A 20120-nucleotide genomic window follows, 5' to 3' on the forward strand; every position below is an offset into this window, starting at 1 on the left:
TGGACTATAATTGGTATCATTTATTTGACACCTGCCCCTTGCCTCGTAACACACCTGCAAGCAGATAGAATAACCATATTTTGTAATTTTTTAAAAAACACTGAAGACTGTCTGGGTGCAGTGGCTCACGCCTGTAATTTCAGCACTTTGGAAGGCCCAGGTGGGTGGGATTACCTGAGGTCAGGAGTTTGAGACCAGCCTGGTCAACATGATGAAACCCCATCTCTACTAAAAATACAAAAAATTAGCCAGATGTGGTGGCAGGCATTTGTAATGCCGGCTACTTGGGAGACTGAGGCAGGAGAATCGCTTGAACCCAGGAGATGGAGGTTGCAGTGAGCCGAGATCACCCCACTGCACTCCAGCCTGGGTGACAAGAGTGAAACTCTGTCTCAAAAAAAAAAAAAGGAAACTGAAGACCTTGCTGTGTTACCTGAGCCCAGGAACGATGACACCCTTGTAGCAATGAGGATACTCAGATAACAGTTTCTAATACCACGCTGCAAGAAAAAGGAACCAGAGCTCCATGGAGAAATGGCTGATTCTAGGGCTGGGCCAAGAACTATATGATTATCCCAGAGCATCTTTTAGCACCGTAAAGTAAGGAATTGCTCAGGAAAACCCAAAGTGATACGTTATGCCAGAGGAACACAGGATCCAACTGAAAAGAGTTCCCAATGGCCAAATCCAGAAAGATAAAAAGAACAACAAAATAAAACAAAAGCTGGAGTAATAAAATAAATAATATAATATCAGATCCCAATGGCCAAATCTGGAACAATAAATAAAAAGGAGAGCAAAATAAAATAAAAGCTGGAATAATAAAATAAATAATGTAATATCAGATTCTAACCCAAAGTATAAAATAAGTATGTATGAGTCTATGCTGATGTAGATAAATGATTGCATAAATAAATAAGTGGGGAGACTAAACAAATCTCCCACACAGAAAAATTCCAGGTAACTTATGTAGATACTACACCCATAGTGTGAGCCACGCATAGTGACTTCTTTCCAAAGAGTACAATATAGATGAGGGGAATAGTAACTTCGGAGTGGAGAACCCTGATGAAGACCACCTGAGCCAGGTGATCAAGGTCAACATCAACAGTGATTAGTCATGTTGATAATATTTACCCTTGATGTGATATGAAGAGAATGGCACTCCCCATCTGTGACCTTCCCAAAACCCAGGAACCCGGTGTCATCATGAGAAAAACATCGGAAAAATCCCAGTTGACAAACATTTTACAAAATACCTGACCAGTTCTCCTTCACACCGTCCTCAAAAGCAAGGAAAGCCTGAGAAACTGTCACAAACCAGAGAAGCCTAAGGAGACAGGACAACTACGTGTCATGTGATATCCACCTTGGATCCTGAAACAGTCCAAGAACAGTACAGGGAAAGCCTTAAAAATCTGAATAAGTAATTGACAGTAGTTAACACAGCACTATCTGCTTATTAGTTTTGACAAATGCAGCATACTAATGTAAGAAGTTAACAAAAGGAGAAAGTGGGTGTGGGGTGTATGGGAACTCTCTGTACTATCTTTGCAACTTTTCTGTAAATCTAAAACTATTCCAGGCCAGCCACGGTGGCTCATGCCTGGAATCCCAGCACTTTGGGAGGCCAAGGTGGGCGGATCACTTGTGGTCAGGAGTTCGAGACCAGTCTGGCCAACATGGTGAAACCCTGTCTCTACTAAAAATACAAAAATTAGCCAGGCATGGTGGCGCATGCCTGTAATCCCAGCTACTTGGGAGGCTGAGGCAGGAGAATCACTGACCTGAGAGGCGGAGGCTGCAGTGAGCTGCAGGAAGCCACTGTGTGGGCAGTGTAGTGAGGAGAGGGTAGGAGATGAGGTCAGGGAGGTGATGAACCTGAGGGTGGGCAGACCACATGGAGCCAGGTTCCACTGTGAGGACTGTGCTTTTATTTGGAGGGAGGTGATATCCATTGTGGGGATTTGAGCAGGAGCGGGACGTGATCTGACTTAGGGTTGAACAGGATCCCTCTGGCTGCTGGCTGGAGACTAGGCTGGGAGGATAGGGGCTAGATAAGGATAGGAGCAGGAAGAGTGAGGAGGTGACTGTAGTAGCCTACACCAGGGGTCAACAAACTTCTGTAAAGGACCAGATAGTAAATATTTTTGGCTTTGCACATCATAGTGGACCTGTCTCAGCTACTCAGTTCTCCTGCAGTAGCACAAAAGCTGCAGCAGACAGGATGTAATTGCATGAACATAGATGTGTTCTAATAAAACTTTATTTACACAAACAGGCGACAGGCCAGATTTGGCCCCTGGGTTATAGCTTACTAACCTCTGATCTAGGTGGGAGATGATGGTGGTTTGGACCACGGTGGGGCGGGGGGCGGTGCGGGCAGTGGAGGAGGTGAGAATGGTCAGATTGTGGGTATATGTCGAAGGGAAAGCCAACAGGATTTGGTGATGGATGGGTGGCAGGATGTCAGAGAGAGGAGACGGGGATAACTCCAAGACACATGCAGTGCCTAGGCCAGTGTTGGGAACATAGAAGGTGATCAGTGTGTACGCATCTTGAATCAGCAATTTGGTATTTCATGCCTCTTTGCCTTGTCTTTTCCAGTGACATGATAGGCACTGTGAGGGCAAGAGCCAGATTTCATCCTTGAAGCCTCCCCTCTCTTTTTTTTTTTCAAGCTTAATTCACTTTATTTTTCTTGTATAAAAACCCTATGTTGTAGCCACAGCTGGAGCCTGAGTCCTCTGCACAGAGACTCTGATGGGGTCTTGACAAGGTAGTCAGTGAATTCCTGACCTGAATTCCTGAATTCTAGGGAGACTTGGTGAATACAGTCTCCTTCCAGAGGTTGGGGGTCGGGTAGCTGTAGGTCTTAGAGATAGCATCAAAGGTGGCCTTGGCGAAGTTTCCCAGGGTGGCAGTGCAGCTGCGGCGTAGCAGTCATAGATACCCGCCATCAGCAGCAGCTTTTGGGCATGGGGACCGAGATGATGCCAGTGCCCCTGGGTGCAGGGATGAAGTGCACCAGCACAGAGCCACAGTGGCCTGTCACCTTACAAGGGACGGTGTGGGGCTTGCCGATCTTGCTCCCCCAGTAGCCTCTGCACATGGGGACAATGGAGAGCTAGCCCAGGATGATGGCCCCGCGGATGGCGTGGCCACCTCCTTGGAGCACTTAACACCCAGATCGACATACCATTATAGTCACCGATGACAATAAATCCCTTGAGCCTGGTGCGCTGGCTGGCGTGGGTCTGCTTTTGTACTGGCATGATCTTCAAAACCTCATCCTTGAGAGAAGCCCCCAGGAAAAAGTCAATGATCTCAAACTCTTTGATGGCCAGGAAGAAGAGATAGATCTCCTCCAGGAACTTGATCTTCATGTCCTTGACCAGGTGGCCCAGCTTGGGGATAGACGTCCACTCCTTGTCCTTGGTCTTGCCTCTGTGAGCTCCTCGGCCTTGGCCCGGGCCCTGTCCGCGGCTATGACCCCAGCCCCCGATGCCCCTGCTGAAGCCTCCACAGAAGCCACCGTGGTTCCCCATCCCAGGGTCCCCAGGGCCTCCAGCCCCCCATCCCCCAAAACCGGATGTTTTCTTGGAGAAGAAAGAAGCTTCCCCTCTCTTGACCCATCATTGTCTGATGCGGTGCCGGGCCCATAGTAGGTGTTTTTATAGTCTTGGGATAGACAGATCTTCTCGAGCACAGGCTCTGAAAGGAGATGGGTCCGGGTGCTGGCTCCTCTTCCCCTCGCCTTGGGCACATCTGAGTTTGCTTGGGCTGCCATTACAAAGTCCCACAGACTGGGTGCCTTAAACAAGAGAAACTTACTGTCCCACAGTTCATGAGACGAGAAGTCCAAGATCAAGGTTGGTTCCTTCTGAGGGCTGCAAGGGAGAATCTTTTCCTTGCCTTTCTCCTAGCTCCTGGTGGTCTCGGATGTCCTCTGACTCGTAGAGAACATGTCACCCGGTCTCTGTCCTCGTCATCACCTGGCATTCTTCGTCTTCTGTCTCTGTGTCCAAATACCCCCTTTATAAGGACACAGACATATTGGATGAAGGCCCACGCTAAGGTCCTCATCTTAATGTGATCATCTGCAAAGACCCTATTTCCAAATAAGGTCACATTCAACATCTTGTAGGGGACACAGTTCAACCCATAACAGGCATGTTCCTACACTCCTCTCTGCCTCGTTTTCTCCTAGTTTCCCACTACATATATAGAAAGTGCTGGCCATAGTCCCTGGCACATTGAAAGCTTTTAATAAATACTAGTTTCTATCCCTAGTCCAATACTAGTTTCTGTCCAGTGATAGAGATTTTTGTCTCTATCTCACTGAGATATTTGTAATTAATTTTTTTCAAAAGCAGTACATACACACATTATCCTTTTTTTTTTTTTTTTTTGAGACACAGTCTCGCCCTGTCACCCAGGCTGAAGTACAGTGGTGCGATCATAACTCACTCCAGCCTCGACCTCCCCAGGCTTAGGTGATCCTCCCACCTCAGCCTCCCAAGTAGCTACAACTGTAGGTACATGTCGCTACACCTGGCTAATTTTTGTATTTTTGGTAGAAACAGAGTCTCACCATGTTGTCCAGGCTGGTCTCAAACTCTTGGGCTCAGGAGATGCACCCTCTTTGGCCTCCCAAAGTGTTAGGATTATAGGTGTGAGCCACCACACCTGGCCCTCATTTTTTTTAATGAAAGTATTTCAATAAGCTAAAACCTTCTTTGATCACCAGCCCAATCCCAGTGACTCCCCATATGAAACTGCTGCTTCCAGCCAGATGTATGGGCTTCCAGATCTTTCTTTTTCCAGTTATGTACAATATATCCATATAAAAATCTCATATTTTAATGGGATTTTATAAATATATACATGGCATCATACTGGGTGTATCACTCTTTTTTTTTTTTAAACAGAGTCTTGCTCTGTCACCCAGGCTGGAGTGCAGTGGCGCCATCTCAGCTCACTGTAACCTCCACCTCCTGGGCTCAAGCGATCCTCCTTTCTCAGCCTCCCAAGTAGCTGGGATTACAGGTGTATGCCACCATGCCTGGCTAACTTTTTGTATTTTTAATAGAGACAGGGTTTCACTATGTTGGCCAGGCTGGTCTCCAACTCCTGACCTCAAGCTATCTGCCCACCTTGGCCTCCCAAAGTGCTGGGATTACAGATGTAAGCCACCGCGCCCAGCCGGATGTATGATTCTTTAACCTGCGTTTTTCACACTCCAGGATGTCTTGGAACCATTTCCATGTGCTAGCATAAAAATTCACCTCCTTGGCTTGGGACGTGGCTCACGCCTGTAATCCCCGCACTTTGGGAGTCCGAGGCAGGGGGGTCATCTGAGGTCGGGAGTTCAAGACCGGCCTGACCAAGATGGAGAAACCCCGTCTCTACTAAAAATACAAAATTAGCTGGGCGTGGTGGTGCATGCCTGTAATCCCAGCTACTCAGAAGGCTGAGGCAGGAGAATTGCTTGAACCTGGGAGGAAGAGGTTGCAGTGAGCCGAGACTGCACCATTACACTCCAGCCTGGGCAACAAGAGCAAAACACTGTCTCAAAAAAAAAAAAAAAAAAAAAAAAATCCACCTCCTTTTTCTGCACTGCTGGGTAGGATTCCACTGAATGGATATACCACATTTTATTTAGCTACGACCTCATCAAGGGAACTTTAGGTGTTTTCCAGTTTCTCACCAGGATGATGGACATTTTTACACAAGGCTCTTTGCAGGTGTTACTCTGGGTCAGAAAGTAAAAATCCCTCGAGACGGGGATTGCACCAGGTCCCGGTCCTCAGCCCCACTGCACTTCACCTGTGTCAAGGCCACGGGAACCCTTCCACCGTCTCTGCCAGCAGATGCCATTCAGCACCCACCCCAAGATACTCATACTTTGACCCGGAAGAGACCAGAAGCACCCTGCAGTTCGTGTGGACAAGTCTCCCCTCTGACTTACAGTCCCCTCACCCTCGTACCTAGGAGAGGGATGGCAGCGCTGAGGGTCGTGGGATTCTCTTCCCTGGAGGCTCCCCCATCCTCGTGGCCTCTGCGCGGTCCAGCTCCCCTCCGAGCTGGCTCAAGGGGTAACTTGATCCAGGTCAGCTGGTGGAGTATGAGGTAGCGTCTAGCTGAGCGTCACGGTATTTTATTAAGTCCGAAATGTGATTGCTACTGTTGTCACACTTTAGCGCCCCCAACAATCCCCTTACAAATGAGAAAAACAGAGCCTCCCCAAATGCCTTTCCTCTGACATCAAGGAAAGCGCATGGAACCCTGCCCAGAGGCCTGAGCCCGGGTGACCCCAGGAGTGGCTCCAGAGCTTGAGGAAAGGCCTGGGGGGCGGAGGGGGTGTTTTTCCAGTTTCAGGCAAAGCAGTGAGCTGGGGGCTATCTGCTGTTTCCTCTGCGCCTGGGTCTGTAAAGTCAGCGGTTGCCGTTTAAATCCCATTTTCCTTAACATGTCAGGATTGCTCATTCTAGGCCATCCATTTATATGGCCATGGCTCAGAGGTCTCAGACTCACATGCCTAGGGGGGTCAAGGATCCAGGTAACGTAAACTGAAGCAAGCCCCGTAGAGATGGTGGGAAACTGTAAATGGATGCCCTGGCTGAAGGAGGTAGCTGAAAATCTGGAGAGAGAACAAGAACAAGAAGAGAAAGGGAAGAGGAGGCAGAGAGAAAAGAGAGAGGACATCCCCCAAGTTTACATATTGCCCATTGCTTCAAAAAAATTTAAACATGCAATGAGCTAAGTAGATATGTCTCCAGGCCAGTTTGCAGGCTCTTCCCTAACTGAACTTATCAACACAGTAGACAAGCTGCCGGCCTGGCTCCCTCACCCCTCTAGAGCAGCGCTGTCCAGTAGAGATTTCTGCAATGATAAAATATCTGCAGCGTTCACTGCAATAACCACTGGCTACATGTAGCTCTTGAGCACTTGAAGTAGGACTAAAGAACTGAACCTTTAATGTTATTTAACTTTACTGAATTTCAATATAACTATAACTAGCCACAGGCAACTAATTGCTACCATATTAGACAACATGGCTCTAGATTCTTTCAATGTGGAGGGTATCATCGTGCTTGACTACTGCAAAAAAGATCACTCCTTCTTGGGGAGAGGGGGTAGATTATACCTGAGACCACCAAGCATTAATCAGAGTCCTGGGTAAATGGAAAGAAAGGAAATTCGAAATACTGAGCAGTAAAAGCTTAGGTGTAACCAGATGTCTGCTGGCTCAAGAGTGGTCACTCAGTGTCCTTCCACTCCCCCACTTCCCAGTGAGTTTCTCATTCAGGGTCACCCTTTAGCATCCACTGTGTTCTTGGCCATCTGCTTACTCCCATTTGCCCAGAGCTGACCCCTAGGAAGCCACCTGGGGGTACTTCCCTGCTGCCGTTGGTCTCCAGGCCTTAAGAGCACACCACTGTCCAAACCCAGGGTGCTGCCCGTGGGTCACAGAGGTGCAAGGTCCTATGCAGAGGCGAGAACGGCAGTTGCACTTTGTCACCTGCCACAAAGTTGCTGTGCCTGGGCCCATGTGTGTCAAGGACTCTGGAAACAAGCCTCACCTTTCATCAAAACCCTTTCTAATCTGAGGCCCTTTCAAGGGGCTGGAGAGGGACCAGCAGCCACACTACCCCCTTGCCAACCCCTCTCTCAGATTCCAGCCCAGCTCCCCACAGGGCAACCCAGGCTGCCCCAGATGCCACTGACCCCTCTCTTGCCTCCCTAAACATCACCATAACAACAAGACTACCTTACGTATCTTTTAAAAATTAATGAGGAGGCCTGTAATTCTACCACTTTGGGAGGCCACAGCGGGAGGATCACTTGAGCCCAGAAATTCAAGACCAGCCTGGGCAACATATTGAGACCCTATCTCTATTTTTCAAAAAAAGAAAAAAAATGAATGAGGCAGGGGCTTCCCACCATCCCCCTGCAAAGCTTATATTCTCAAAGATAAATTCAAGCCTTTTGGCCAGGCACGGTGGCTCATGCCTGCAATCTTAGCACTTCGGGAGGCCAAGACTAGAGGATCTCTTGAGGCCAGGAGTTTGAGACCAGCCTGGCCAACATAGCAAAACCTCATCTCTACTCAAAATACAAAAATTAGCTAGGCATGGTGGCACACACCTGTAGTCCCAACTACTCGAGAGGCTGAGGCTTGAGAATCACCTAAACCTGGGAGGTGGTGGCAGTGAACTGAGATTGTGCCACTGCACTCCAGCTTGGGTGACAGAGCAAGACTGTCTAAAAAAAAAAAAAAAAAAAAAAAAAAAAAAAAAAAAAAGCTTTTTGCTTGTCCAATTGTCTAAAAAGAGATCTGTTCAAAATGTTGCAAATACCCTTTCTTCCAATTTCTCTACTCCCATCAAGGTTCCAGAGATGTTACAACCAATTTTTTCTCAGTAGTCAAGCTCAGAGTCCCACGTGCTTCTCCTCCTCCAGCAGCCTTTGTAAGGAGGCAGCTGCCTCGAGAAATCACCTTGCAACTAAACTGTGGGAAAATGTGTAAGATCTTAACACAGTGGTAGAAACTAACATGTATGCAGTAGCCACTGTGCACCCGACACTGTTCTCGGTGCTCTCATGCAGCATCTCGCTTCTCCTCACCTCATCTGGAGGTGGGTTCAGTTATCAGGTCCATTTATCAGTCAGGCCTCTGGGGTTCATGAGGGTCATGCCCCTCACTCAAGGTCACACACTGGGAAGCGGTTGGATCCAGGATCCAGGCCCAGGCAGTCAGATTCCAGAGCCTGCACCCTGAACCAGTACCGCAGGGGCTGGCACCCCCGCACATTTTTTGCCCCATCAACATATTATCATGTCACTCCGCCAGCATCATGAAGTGCACTCATGATATGTTTGCCCCATCAGCGTGTCACGAGGGCATTTCATGATGCAGGCGGGGTTGGCAGGTGTGCATCGTGTAGGCTCCACATGGGACATGGCATCCCTTACGACTCTTGGCTGCAAAGTGCCAGAAACCCAGCTCCACTCACTTAATCTGAAAAGTGGGTGTATTTGTTCGCCAGGGCTGCTGTAACAAATTTCCCCCAGTTACTGGCTTCGAACAACACACACGTGTCCTCTTACAGTTCTGGAGGTCAGGCTCTGAGAGGAGAATCGGTTTTTTTACTTTTTTTTTTTTTTTTTTTGAGACAGAGTCTCGCTCTGTCGCCCAGGCTGGCGTGCAGTGGTGTGATCTCAGCTCACTGCAGCCTCCTGCCTCCCAGGTTCAAGCTATTCTCGTGCCTCAGCCTCCCAAGTAGCTGGGACCACAGATGTGCACCACCATGCCCAGCTAATTTTTTGTATTTTTAGTAGAGGTGGGGTTTCTCCATGTTGGCCAGGCTGGTCTCAAACTCCTGGCCTCAAGTGATCCACCCGCCTCAGCCTCCCAAAATGCTGAGATTACAGGTGTAAGCCACCACACCTGGCCCTTTGGTTTTTTGTTTGTTTTAGTTTTTCTTTCAGTGGCCACTTGTGTATGTTGACTGTGGTCTCTTCTTCCATCTTCAAAGCACATGACTCCAGTCACCCTCTCCTTTCTGTCATCAGATCACTGTCTCTCTTACAGGGACCCATGTGATTCCATTTAGGGCCCACCCCGACAGCCAAGGAAAAACTTCCCACCTCAAGATCTCTAACTGAACTAAAGTCCTGATTGCCATTTAAAGTAATAGATTTGCAGGTTCCGAGATAAGAATGTGCGCATCTTTGGGGGTTCGTTATTCGGCCCAGCACAGTCAGGGATGGCTCAGCTTCAGTCCTGACTGGATCCAGGGGATCAGATCGCATGCTCATGGCATCCCCCTCTCCAGCTCGCAGCCCTGCTTTCCTCAGCAGCTCCCGGCTTAATCCACCATTCAGCAGCCCCAGGGAAGAGACAGCACCTCTTCCAAAAGTGCCAGCCAACGTCCCCGGGCTGGTTCCCATTGGCCCACCTTAGACCACATGTTCATCCTTGAAGCAATCACTGTGGCCAGGGGGACCTTGGGTCCCTCTGATTGGTTTTCATTGTCCCCACCCCGTAGTCTTTTGTTTTTTTGTTTTTTTGTTTTTTTTGAGACAGAGTCTTGCTCTGTCATGCAGGCTGGAGCACAGTGGCGCGATCTCGGCTCACTACAACCTCCACTTGCTGGGTTCAAGCAGTTCTCCTGCCTCAGCCTCCCGAGTAGCTGGGATTACAGGCAGCTGCCACCACGCCCAGCTAATTTGTGTATTTTAGTAGAGACAGGGTTTCATCATGTTGGCCAGGCTGGTCTCAAACTCCTGACCTCAAACAATCCACCCGCCTGTCTCCCACAGTGCTAGGATTACAGGCATGAGCCACCATGCCCAGCCTCCACCCCATGGTCTTGTCCCACAGAGAGAGGTGTTTCCCCAAGGAAACTGAGTGGGAAACAGCATGGCATTGGAGTTTGTTCAATGGCAAGCCCTGGGGATAGTGCCTGGCACATAGTAAGTGCTCAGTAAATGATGATCACAGATCATGAGGCACAGCAGGTGTCCCTCCAGGAGCCAATACTTGAAGAGCACAGGGTTTACTAAGCAGATGTAGGCAGGAGAGCATTTCAAGCAGGGGGAACACCTTTAGCGAGGCAGAGGTGTCCACCATATGGCCAGGGTGACCAAATGTCTGGCCATACTTGGGAAGCTGGGGACCTAGGGGAGTCCTGGTTTGAACCTATCCCCCTAGTATAATACCATCCCCCTTTAATGCAAAACTCTCTCTGTTTGGAGAGTATCTGTATGGTCACTTTCCTTGCAGTCAACCTGCTCATTTATAAGGAAACCAAACAGACAAAGAGGATGAGATTGAACCCAAGGACCTCTAACCTTGAGTATCCAAATCCAGACTAGAACCCGAGCCTGATGACTCCCAGTGCAGTGCTCATCCCAGCCCTCAGCTTATGAGGCCAACCCTTGAAGGCTACATCAGATTAACCAGGCATGTTCTCTCTCTCTCTCTCTCTCTGTCAAATTTTCCATAGGATTGTGACCAGATCCACGTTGATGACGTCTCATCAGATGACAATGGCCAAGATTTAAGGTGGGAATTTGGGGAGTCAAAAATGCCCATTGATTGATTGATTGATTATCAAGTTATCCTTCTACTAGGAAGTGGGGTGGGAGAGGAGGGCTGCTTATAAGGACAAGGAGTGCCTGCCTCCAGCCAGAACTGGGACTTTTGCATCTCAGACTCAAAAATCACAACTAGGCGGGTGTGGTGGCTCATACTTGTAATCCCAGCACTTTGGGAGGTCTTAGCAGGAGGATCACTTGAGCTCAGGAGTTCAAAACCAGCCTGAGCAACATAGTGAGACCCCCATCTCTACTATAATAAATAAATGAGTAAAAATTTGTTTAAAAAATCACAACCTCACCCCTCAACCCTACAGTCTCTTGCTCATCACCTCAAATCACTAAACTCTGCTCATTTATTGCTATTTTTTTCCTGCTTACTGAAGTAATGCATGCATAACAGAAAAAATTCAAACACTTAACCTGACCTCACCTCCCAAACTCACCACCATTAAGAGTTTAGTATATATTCTTCAAAGATCTGCTCAAAATGTTGAAAATACCCTTTCTTTCAGCTTCTCTCCTCCAATCAAGGGTCCGGAGATGTTATAACCAATTTTTTCTCAGTAGTCAAGCTCAGAGTTTCACGTGCTTCTCCTCCTCCAGCAGTCTTCGTAAGGAGGCAGCTGCCTCCAAATATTTGGTTGTATTCATTAGCATACATATATATATTTTTTTCTTTTTCTTTTTTTTGAGGCTGACTTTCACTCTTGTCACCCAGGCTGGAGTGCAATGGTGTGATCTCAGCTCACTGCAACCTCCACCTCCCAGGCTCAAGCAATTCTCCTGCCTCAGCCTCCTGAGTAGCTGGGATTACAGTCATGCACCACCACACCCAGCTAATTTTTTTGTTTTTTTAGTAGAGGCGGGGTTTCACCATATTGGCCAGGCTGGTCTCAAACTCCTAACCTCAAGTGATCTACCCACCTCAGCCTCCCAGAGTGCTGGGGTTACAGGCGTGAGCCACCGCACCCGACCAGCATGCATATATTTTTAATATAACAATTGATACAGCCAATACTTAAGAAACACTTCTCAAATGAATAAGTGGTGTGTCTGGTTTCTAGGGGAAAACACTCCCAGGACATGGCTTCCAGGAATCAGGTAACCCATTGCTTAATATGAGACACCTTCAGGCCGGGTGTGGTGGCTCACGCCTGTAATCCCAGCACTTTGGGAGGCCAAGGCGCAAGGATCACCTGAGGTCAGGAGTTCGAGACCAGCCTGGCCAACACAGTGAAACCCCATCTCTACTAAAAATACAAAAATTAGCCGGGCGTGGTGGCGGGCGCCTGTAATCCCAGCTACTTGGGAGGCTGAGGCAGGAGAATTGCTTGAACCCAGGAGGCGGAGGTTGCAGCGAGCCGAGATCGTGCCACTGCACTCCAGCCTGGGGTACAGAGCGAGACTCCGTCTCAAAAAAAAAAAAAAAAGAGAGACAGCTTCCAGAGGAATGTGGGCTGGAATGTTCCAAGCCTGCCCCTGGGAAAACTTTGTAAAAATGGAACCATAGTTAATCTGTGCTCATCCAAAATTACCACAATTCAACGGCTTTAGGCTCATCAGATATATTATTAGACCAACTAATGTTTTGGTTACGGGATCAGTCATTGTAACTTTATTTAGTAGCTGCTTCCAAGGTGTCTCTCCCAACTTACTGCAAAAACAAAAATCAAAATTTCTGTTCCTGAGCCCTGCAAGTCTTTTCAAAGCCCGGCACAATCGGAAGTGATCAGCCGGCAGATGCCTGCTTCATTTTAATCAGCCATTCGGAAAATCCCTTCTGCAATCAGGACTGGCAAGGAGCAAAGCTCCAGCCCCACCAGGACTTCTCACCTGATGGAGTAAATAAACCCCAGATCAAGGTTAATTGGTCCTTTCCATGAAGTCATCGTTGGGAAGCACTCTTCCTTTCAAGGCAGTGAGCAGCACCGTTCTGTTTCTATAGTTTCCCCTGTAGCTAGCTGGCTTGGAATTGAGAGCAACAGTCCTCTGAACCCTGTCTCATGCTGAGCTGTTTGGTACCTCACTTTGAGAATTCTCAGCCCAAGGGTGTTTTCTTCCTTAGAGACCAAATTCTCCACTTATTCATTCAAGAAATATTTATGGAGTACCTACTATATGCTAGGTCCCAAACATGAAATGCCTCTTGTTTGTTTTTTTGTTTTGTTTTGTTTTGTTTTGTTTTTTTCAGTTAGCAGTAAGAACCAACCTTCAGAGATGCCTCGTTTTGTGCCATGTTCTATTCTAAATGCATTACATGGGATAACTCATTGCATATCCACAGTAACCCTAGGAGAGAGAGATGCTTTTATCCTCATCCTCATTTTTCAGCTGGGGAATGTGAGGCATAGAGAGATTGAGCAATTGGCCCAAACTCACATGGCTGGTCAGCAGGGAAGGCAGGATTCAAATCCAGGCAGCCTGGCTCTGGGACCCAAGCTCTTAACAGATCCTCTGTCCATCCTGGACACTGGTTCCTGCCCTCCCCAAGGGCCTCCATCTCCTAACATCTAGACATCTCCCCATGGTAGCATCTGAGTTAATGGTGAGCGTTCACTTTTTCAAGAATAAATCTATGGCCGGGCACAGTGGCTCACGCCTGTAATCCCAGCACTTTGGGAGCCCAAGGCGGGTGGATCACTTGAGGTCCGGAGTGCAAGACCAGCCTGGCCAACATGGTGAAACCCTGTCTCTACTAAAAATACAAAAAATTACCTGGGTGTGGTGGAGGGCACCTGTAATCCCAGCTACTTGGGAGGGGGAGGCTGAGGCAGGAGAATCACTTGAACCTGGGAGGCAGAGGTTGCAGTGAGCCGAGATCATGCCTTTGCACTCCAGCCTGGGCAACAGAGCAAGACTCCATCTCAAAATAAATAAAAAAAAATAAAAAAAATAAAAAAATAAAAAGTCAAAATAAGGGACGAGGCACGGTGGTGCATGCCTATAATCCCAGCACTTTGGGAAGCCAAGGTAGGAGGATCCCTTGAGCCCAGGAGTTCAAGAACAGCCCAGGCAACATAGAGAGACTCCATCTCTCCAAAAAATAAAAATAAGTTAGCCAAGTGTGGTGGCGCACACACGAGGAGCCTGTGGGCCCAGCTCCTCGGAAGGCTGAGGTAAAAGGATCCCTTGAGCTGGGAGGTTGAGGCTGCCATGAGCTGTGATGACACCACTGCACTCCAACCTGGGCAACAGCGCAAGACCCTGTCTCAAAAAAATAAAAATTAAAAAATAAATGAAAGGCAAATGGATGTGGATCAGGTAAGAGCAAAAGACACCACTTTTCTTGGGGAAGCTAATGAAAGCTGTGGTCCTGCTGCCCCCCAAATGCACACTCGCAGCACCCTGTGCATTTCGAGGGGCTCATGGACACCCAAAAGCCCACCCGTGGGTCCCACAGAGCCTGTGGTCTCCCAGGGAAGATGCCCTGCACCCCCCTGCACTAACACTGTCCCTCCCCTCCTCTCTCCGCAGCACATACAACTTCTCCGCTGACGGCTTCCACAGTTCGGCCCCAGGAGCCAACCTGTGCCTGGGCTCTGGCGTGCACGGCGGCGTGGACTGGATGAGGAAGCTGGCCTTCCGCTACCGGCGGGTGAAGGAGATGTACAATACCTACAAGAACAACGTTGGTGGTGAGTACTGTGAGCCTTGGGCCTCCGAGGAAGGGAAACTCATTGGGATGGATGCTGTCAGTGTCCCTGCTGTGCCAGGCGCCAGGCAGAGAGGTTCACAAGTTCAGTACCAGCCCACTTAATGCAACCCTGACGACACCCTTCGGAATAGAGCACTGGGATTTTGTCACCTTCACTTTGGGGGTGGGAAAGCTGAGGGACGGAGGCTGCATCTGGTCCAAGATCCTTCAGGCCACAAATGGCGCGGGGTGGACGTGGGGGCGGAATTCTCTTACCCACAGCCAGAGGCTCTCACAGTGTGGTCCTCCAAGTAGCAGCGACAGCATCACCTGGGGATGTGTTGAAAATGCAGATTCTCTGGCCCTACCTCAGGCCTAGCAAATCTGAAACTCTGCGCTGGGGCCCAGAATCTGTGTTTTCACAGCCCTGGAATCCCCCCTTGGATTCTGGAATTCCAGAATCCCCCTGGAATCGGGAGGACCTGTGCCTTGAGTCTTTGCATCTCAGATTGTTGTCCGCAGACCAACCACATCAGCATCCCCCGGAGCTGGTTAGAAGTGCAGGGTCACCAGCAGGCAGAGTCTGCAGTGACCCAAGATTACACCACTGCACCCCAGCCTGGGCAACAAAGTGAGACCCCGTAAAAAAAAAAAAAAAAAAAAAAACGTGCAGGGTCTCAGGCCTCATCCTGGGCAACTGACTCAGAATCTGCTTTAAAAAATTTTTTTTTATTTTTGAGACAAGGTCTTGCTATGCTGCCCAGGCTGGTCTCAAACTACTTCTGGCCTCAAGTGATCTTCCCACCTCAGCCTCCCAAGTAGCTGGGATTAGAGGCATGCACCACCTGCCTGGCCCAGAATCTGCATTTTTGACAAGCCCGCCAGGTGACTGTGGAGGCATTAAAGTTGAAGAAGCCCTAGAAGTCACTGGTTCTCACACGTGGCTCTCATTGGAACCACCCAGGGAGTTTCAGTTGCTGGTGGTCTTGGTATCACTGCAGCCTGGACATCAGGAGTCATAAAGATCCCTGGGGAATTCTAAGTGCAGCCAAGGAGAGACCCGCCCCCTGGCTTCAGGTACTAGGAACATTTGCTCATTGCCCCAAACAAGAAGTCTGAAGGCACTGAAGGCGAGGCTGGCTCAGCCGTAGTCTAGAGAATTCTGGAGTTCTCTAGAACAGAGGTTTTTAACTAGGGGTGGTACTGCGCCCTCCTCAGGAGACATCTGGGAGTCTTCCTGGTTGCCACAGTGCCTGGAACCAACCACTGGCCCATAAGGGCAGGGTTTGAGTAGGTGGCTAATAGTGTCTGCAATATACACATTGGCCCCAAAAACTTCTAGGGCCCCCTCCCTCCATTCCTAGAAAGAATAGAGTCCCGGTTCTCAAACTGGACAGAACACACTTCCAGTCGCAGCTCTACAACTTTCTAGCTATGTGGCCTTAGGCAACATACATACGGTCATCTTAATGAGCCTTAGTCTTTAAATCTATGAAATGGAGAATACAAATACTTCTGCTTCCCTGGATTATTGAGAGATTTATTGTTAGTGCATACAAAAGGCATGACTCCATGCCTGATACACAGCGGGAACTCAATAAATGGTGGCATTTGTCACGAGTTGCTCTCAGTTTTGCTTGGGAGCCTCGGGTTCCCCTGCGTCTTCTACTGTCCCTGGAGCTTTCCCATCCGTTCTTTGGGACAGACTTCCCGTCGTGTTCATGGCTGCGGTGCTAATGCAGCCCACGTGCTAAGCGCGGTCCTGGCAGTAGCTAATGTTTAAGGAGCACTCGCTCTGCCAGTTTTGCCACCGTTTTCATGGACTAGCTCCTTCACTCTTCACAGCATGCCTGTAAGGTAAATGTTTTTATCAACGGTGTTGCTTGAAAGCAGAAACTGAGATGACGGAGGTTAAGTAACCTGCCCAGCGTCACACAGCCCAGGCAGAAGGGCCACAGTGGAGTCCCAGGCTGGGTGACTGCACCACCTCTGCCCTTCAGGGCCACACTTGGTGGCCTCTCAGATGTGAGTGTGTTGATTGCAGGAGTGAAGCAGCAAGCTCTGGTCAGGTCCCAGCCTTTGTACCCAGCCCTGCACGGAGGGAGGAGGGGAGCAGGAGGGCTGACTCAGGTGAGACAGGGATGGGGTTGGCCGCCAGAGAGCATCTGTTCCCCATCCAGGTTAAGGCCCAGGAAATGCCAGGGCTTTGTCAGGCTGCTCTGCTCACCCATAGCTGAGGGGAGAGCACCCAAGGCGTCAGCCAGTGAGGAGCCCACAGCCAGCGGCATGCCGGTCTCCTTCCCCAACCCAGCTGTTCCTGCATCACAGAACTAGCCAGGTGCATGGCCGTGGCTTCCAGCCCAGGGATCACCACAGATCCCCACGATTCCAAGTGTTTTAGAAGGTACACTCGGAAGAAAGGCATCTGCAAAATACAGAATAGAGAAAATGCTTAGTAAATCACCATCTAGGAGGCAGGGGTTGAAATCAGGGGCCTTAGCCTGATGTCATCCTTCCATCTACCACTTCCCATGTAGCTCTGAGCAGGTTATTTGACCTCCCTGTGCCTCAGTTTCCTCCTCGTGTGCAAAATGGGGCCAGTGATGCTGCCCAGCATCATTGGTAGATGGCTAATAGTGTCTGCAATATACACAATATACACAAGGATTCATGCCAGGATGTTGTGAATTCACACAGGAAAGGTGCTCAGAACGGCATCTGACACACATAAGCTCTCATTAAGTGGCACTTTTGTTATCTGGGGAAGGTGGGAAGGAGGCCAAGCCTGGAGGAAAACGCCGAGGAAACAGCTTGAAGCACACTTCCCAGCGTGGAGCAAAGTAGGGGTGGTTGGGCAGCCAGCTACACAAGACAGCACGTTGGGAAGCCCTTTGTCAACTGAAAAGTGCTGAGCCTTGTGAGTTTGTATTGTTACTGAGGGTTCCAGCTAAGGGTCTGTGGGGAAGGTGCAGAGACAGAGGAAAACCAGAGGCCGTGTGTTCTCCTAGAGTTGATAGACTAATGAGAAGATGGGACATGTAGCAGTAAGAAGATTCATTCATTCATTCATTCTTCCACGTGTCCATCGTCAAAGGCCTAGGTTGTGGATTCAGCAGTGAACAAAAGAAACAAGGTCCCTGTTTTCAAAGAGTTTATATTCAGTGAGTGGAGGAAACAGACCATCAACAAGTGAGCAAATCACTTAAATTCTTTTTTTTTTTTTTTTTTTTTGAGATGGAGTCTTGCTCTGTCACCCAGGCTGGAATACAGTGGCATGATCTCGGCTCACTGCAACCTCTACCTCCCAGGTTCAAGTGACTCTCCTGCCTCAGCCTCCCGAGTAGCTGGGATTACAGGCACATGCCACCATGCCCGGCTAATTTTTGTATTTTTAATAGAGATGAGGTTTCACCATGTTGGCCAGGCTGGTCTTGAACTCCTGAGCTCAGGTGATCCACCCGTCTCAGCCTCCCAAAGTACTGGGATTACAGGTATGAGCCACCATGCCCGGCTTTAAATTCTTAATTCAGTCATTTCGAGGATGATCACACCTATTGAAGAAACAGATATGGCAGAGAGCCCAGCGTGGGCAGTGGTGGCCAGGGGATACTTGGAATAGTAGACCCAGAGTCCATCTCTCAGGAAGGGCTATTTGAACTCAGTATTCTAAATATTCTAGATGAGATTCTAATAATGATAACCAGATGCCCAGAGCTGGGGAATGACCAATACAAGCAAAGAGTCAATCAGTTCAGCTACATTCAACTGCATAAGTAAAAGAACAACCAACCAAAAAATAACACAAAAAACAACAATGGCTTAAACCAGATAGAAATGTATTTTTTTTCTTATATACAAAAGCTGTAGGCATTCCAAGCTGGCCAAGTACTCTACAGTGTTATGAGCCCAGGATCCCAGGATCCTTCTTTCTTTTTTTTTTTTTGAGACAGAGTCTCACTCTGCCACCTAGGCTGGAGTATAGTGGCACAATCTCGGCTCACTGCAACCTCCGCCTCCCGAGTTCAAGCAATTCTCCTGCCTCAGCCTCCCAAGTAGCTGGGAATACAGGCGCCTGCCACCACACCCGGCTAATTTTTGTATTTTTAGTAGAGATAGAGACGGGATTTCACCACGTTGGCCAGGCTGATCTCGAACTCCTGACCTCAGATGATCTGCCCGCCTCGGCCTCCAAAAGTGCTGGGATTACAGGCATGAGCCACCCTGCCTGGCCCCTTCTATCTTTGTATTTATTTATTTATTTATTGAGACTGGGTCTCACTCTGTTTCTCAGGCTGGAGTGCAGTGGCATGATCTCGGCTCACTGCACCCTCGACCTCCTAGGCTCAAGTGATCCTCCCACCTCAGCCTTCAGAATAGCTGGGACCACAGGCACATGCCACCATGCCTGGCTAATTTTTAAATTTTTTGTAAAGATGGGGCCTTCCTGTCTTGCCCAGGCTGGTCTCAAACCCCTGGCTCAAGCGATCCTCCCACCTCAGCCTCCCAAAGTGCTGGGGTTACAGGCGTGGGCCACCTCACCCAGCCAAAATCAGGATTCTTATTACTAATGAGAAGATCCTTTTGTATTTATATTTTTACTAATTACAAGTGAAAAAAATGGATAGTGGATGGCAACTAAGTGTCTACCACAAACAGCAAATGAAAAGTCTCTGAGACAAAAAGAGTTTGACACTTTTCAGAAAGATAAAGAAGGCCAGCATAGCTGAATAGCTGGAGTGAGGGGGCACGTGGTCCAGGACAGGATGAGAGAGCTGGCGGTGTCCAGATGACATAAGGCCCAGTTTGGACACTGGGCTCTTCTATGTAGAGAAGACGATGTCTCCATAGCACAGGCAGCATTTTGTCCTAATTAATTCATTCTTCCTTCAACAAATACTGATTGAGCATCAAGCACAGGCCAGCCCCTGCTACAGAAACTGCTGCTATGATGGCGAACAAGACTGACTTGGTCCCTGCCCTCTGCCCTAGAGTGAATAGCCTAATGGCCAAGGCAGATGCCAAACACATCGTCACACAGATACACTTAAAATTAGAGTTGTGAGAAGTGCTGTGAAGAAGAGCTACAGTGTGTTGGGAGAATATAAACTAAAGGGACCTGACCCAGCCTGGAGAGATCAGGTTAGACCTTCCAGAACAAATGACATTTAAGATGAGGCCGTAAGGCAGGATGCAGAGGTTCACACCTGTAATTCCAGCACTTTGGGAGGCCAAGGCAGGATTGCTTGAGGCCAGGAGTTCAAGACCAGTTTGGGCAACATAGCAAGACCCCACCTCTATGAAAAATACAAAATTTAGCCGGACATGGTGGCAGGCATCTGTAGTTCCAGCTACTCAGGAGGCTAAGGTGGAAGGATTG

At 48.8% G+C, this 20120-nt stretch overlaps 1 protein-coding gene, 1 non-coding gene and 1 pseudogene across 6 annotated transcripts in view; 2 read left to right on the forward strand and 1 right to left on the reverse strand.

Annotated features, from left to right (window-relative positions):
* Window positions 1-20120, forward strand: part of EYA2 (EYA transcriptional coactivator and phosphatase 2) — a 294002-nt gene that overhangs the window by 263281 nt on the left and 10601 nt on the right. For all 5 annotated transcript variants that reach the window (NM_005244.5, NM_172110.4, XM_017027721.3 and 2 more), the window contains 2 exons: window positions 11016-11074; window positions 14584-14744. In NM_005244.5, the coding sequence (NP_005235.3) occupies window positions 11016-11074; window positions 14584-14744 (220 nt within the window). The remainder of the gene's footprint in view (window positions 1-11015; window positions 11075-14583; window positions 14745-20120) is intronic.
* On the reverse strand, window positions 2678-3577 carry RPS2P54 (ribosomal protein S2 pseudogene 54; annotated as a pseudogene).
* On the forward strand, window positions 8844-8935 carry MIR3616 (microRNA 3616). The gene has a single exon (NR_037410.1). It is a non-coding gene; the product is annotated as a microRNA 3616 (primary transcript).

The sequence above is a fragment of the Homo sapiens genome, chromosome 20 (genome assembly GCF_000001405.40).
Source record: "Homo sapiens chromosome 20, GRCh38.p14 Primary Assembly".
Classification (NCBI taxonomy): Eukaryota; Metazoa; Chordata; class Mammalia; order Primates; family Hominidae; genus Homo; species Homo sapiens.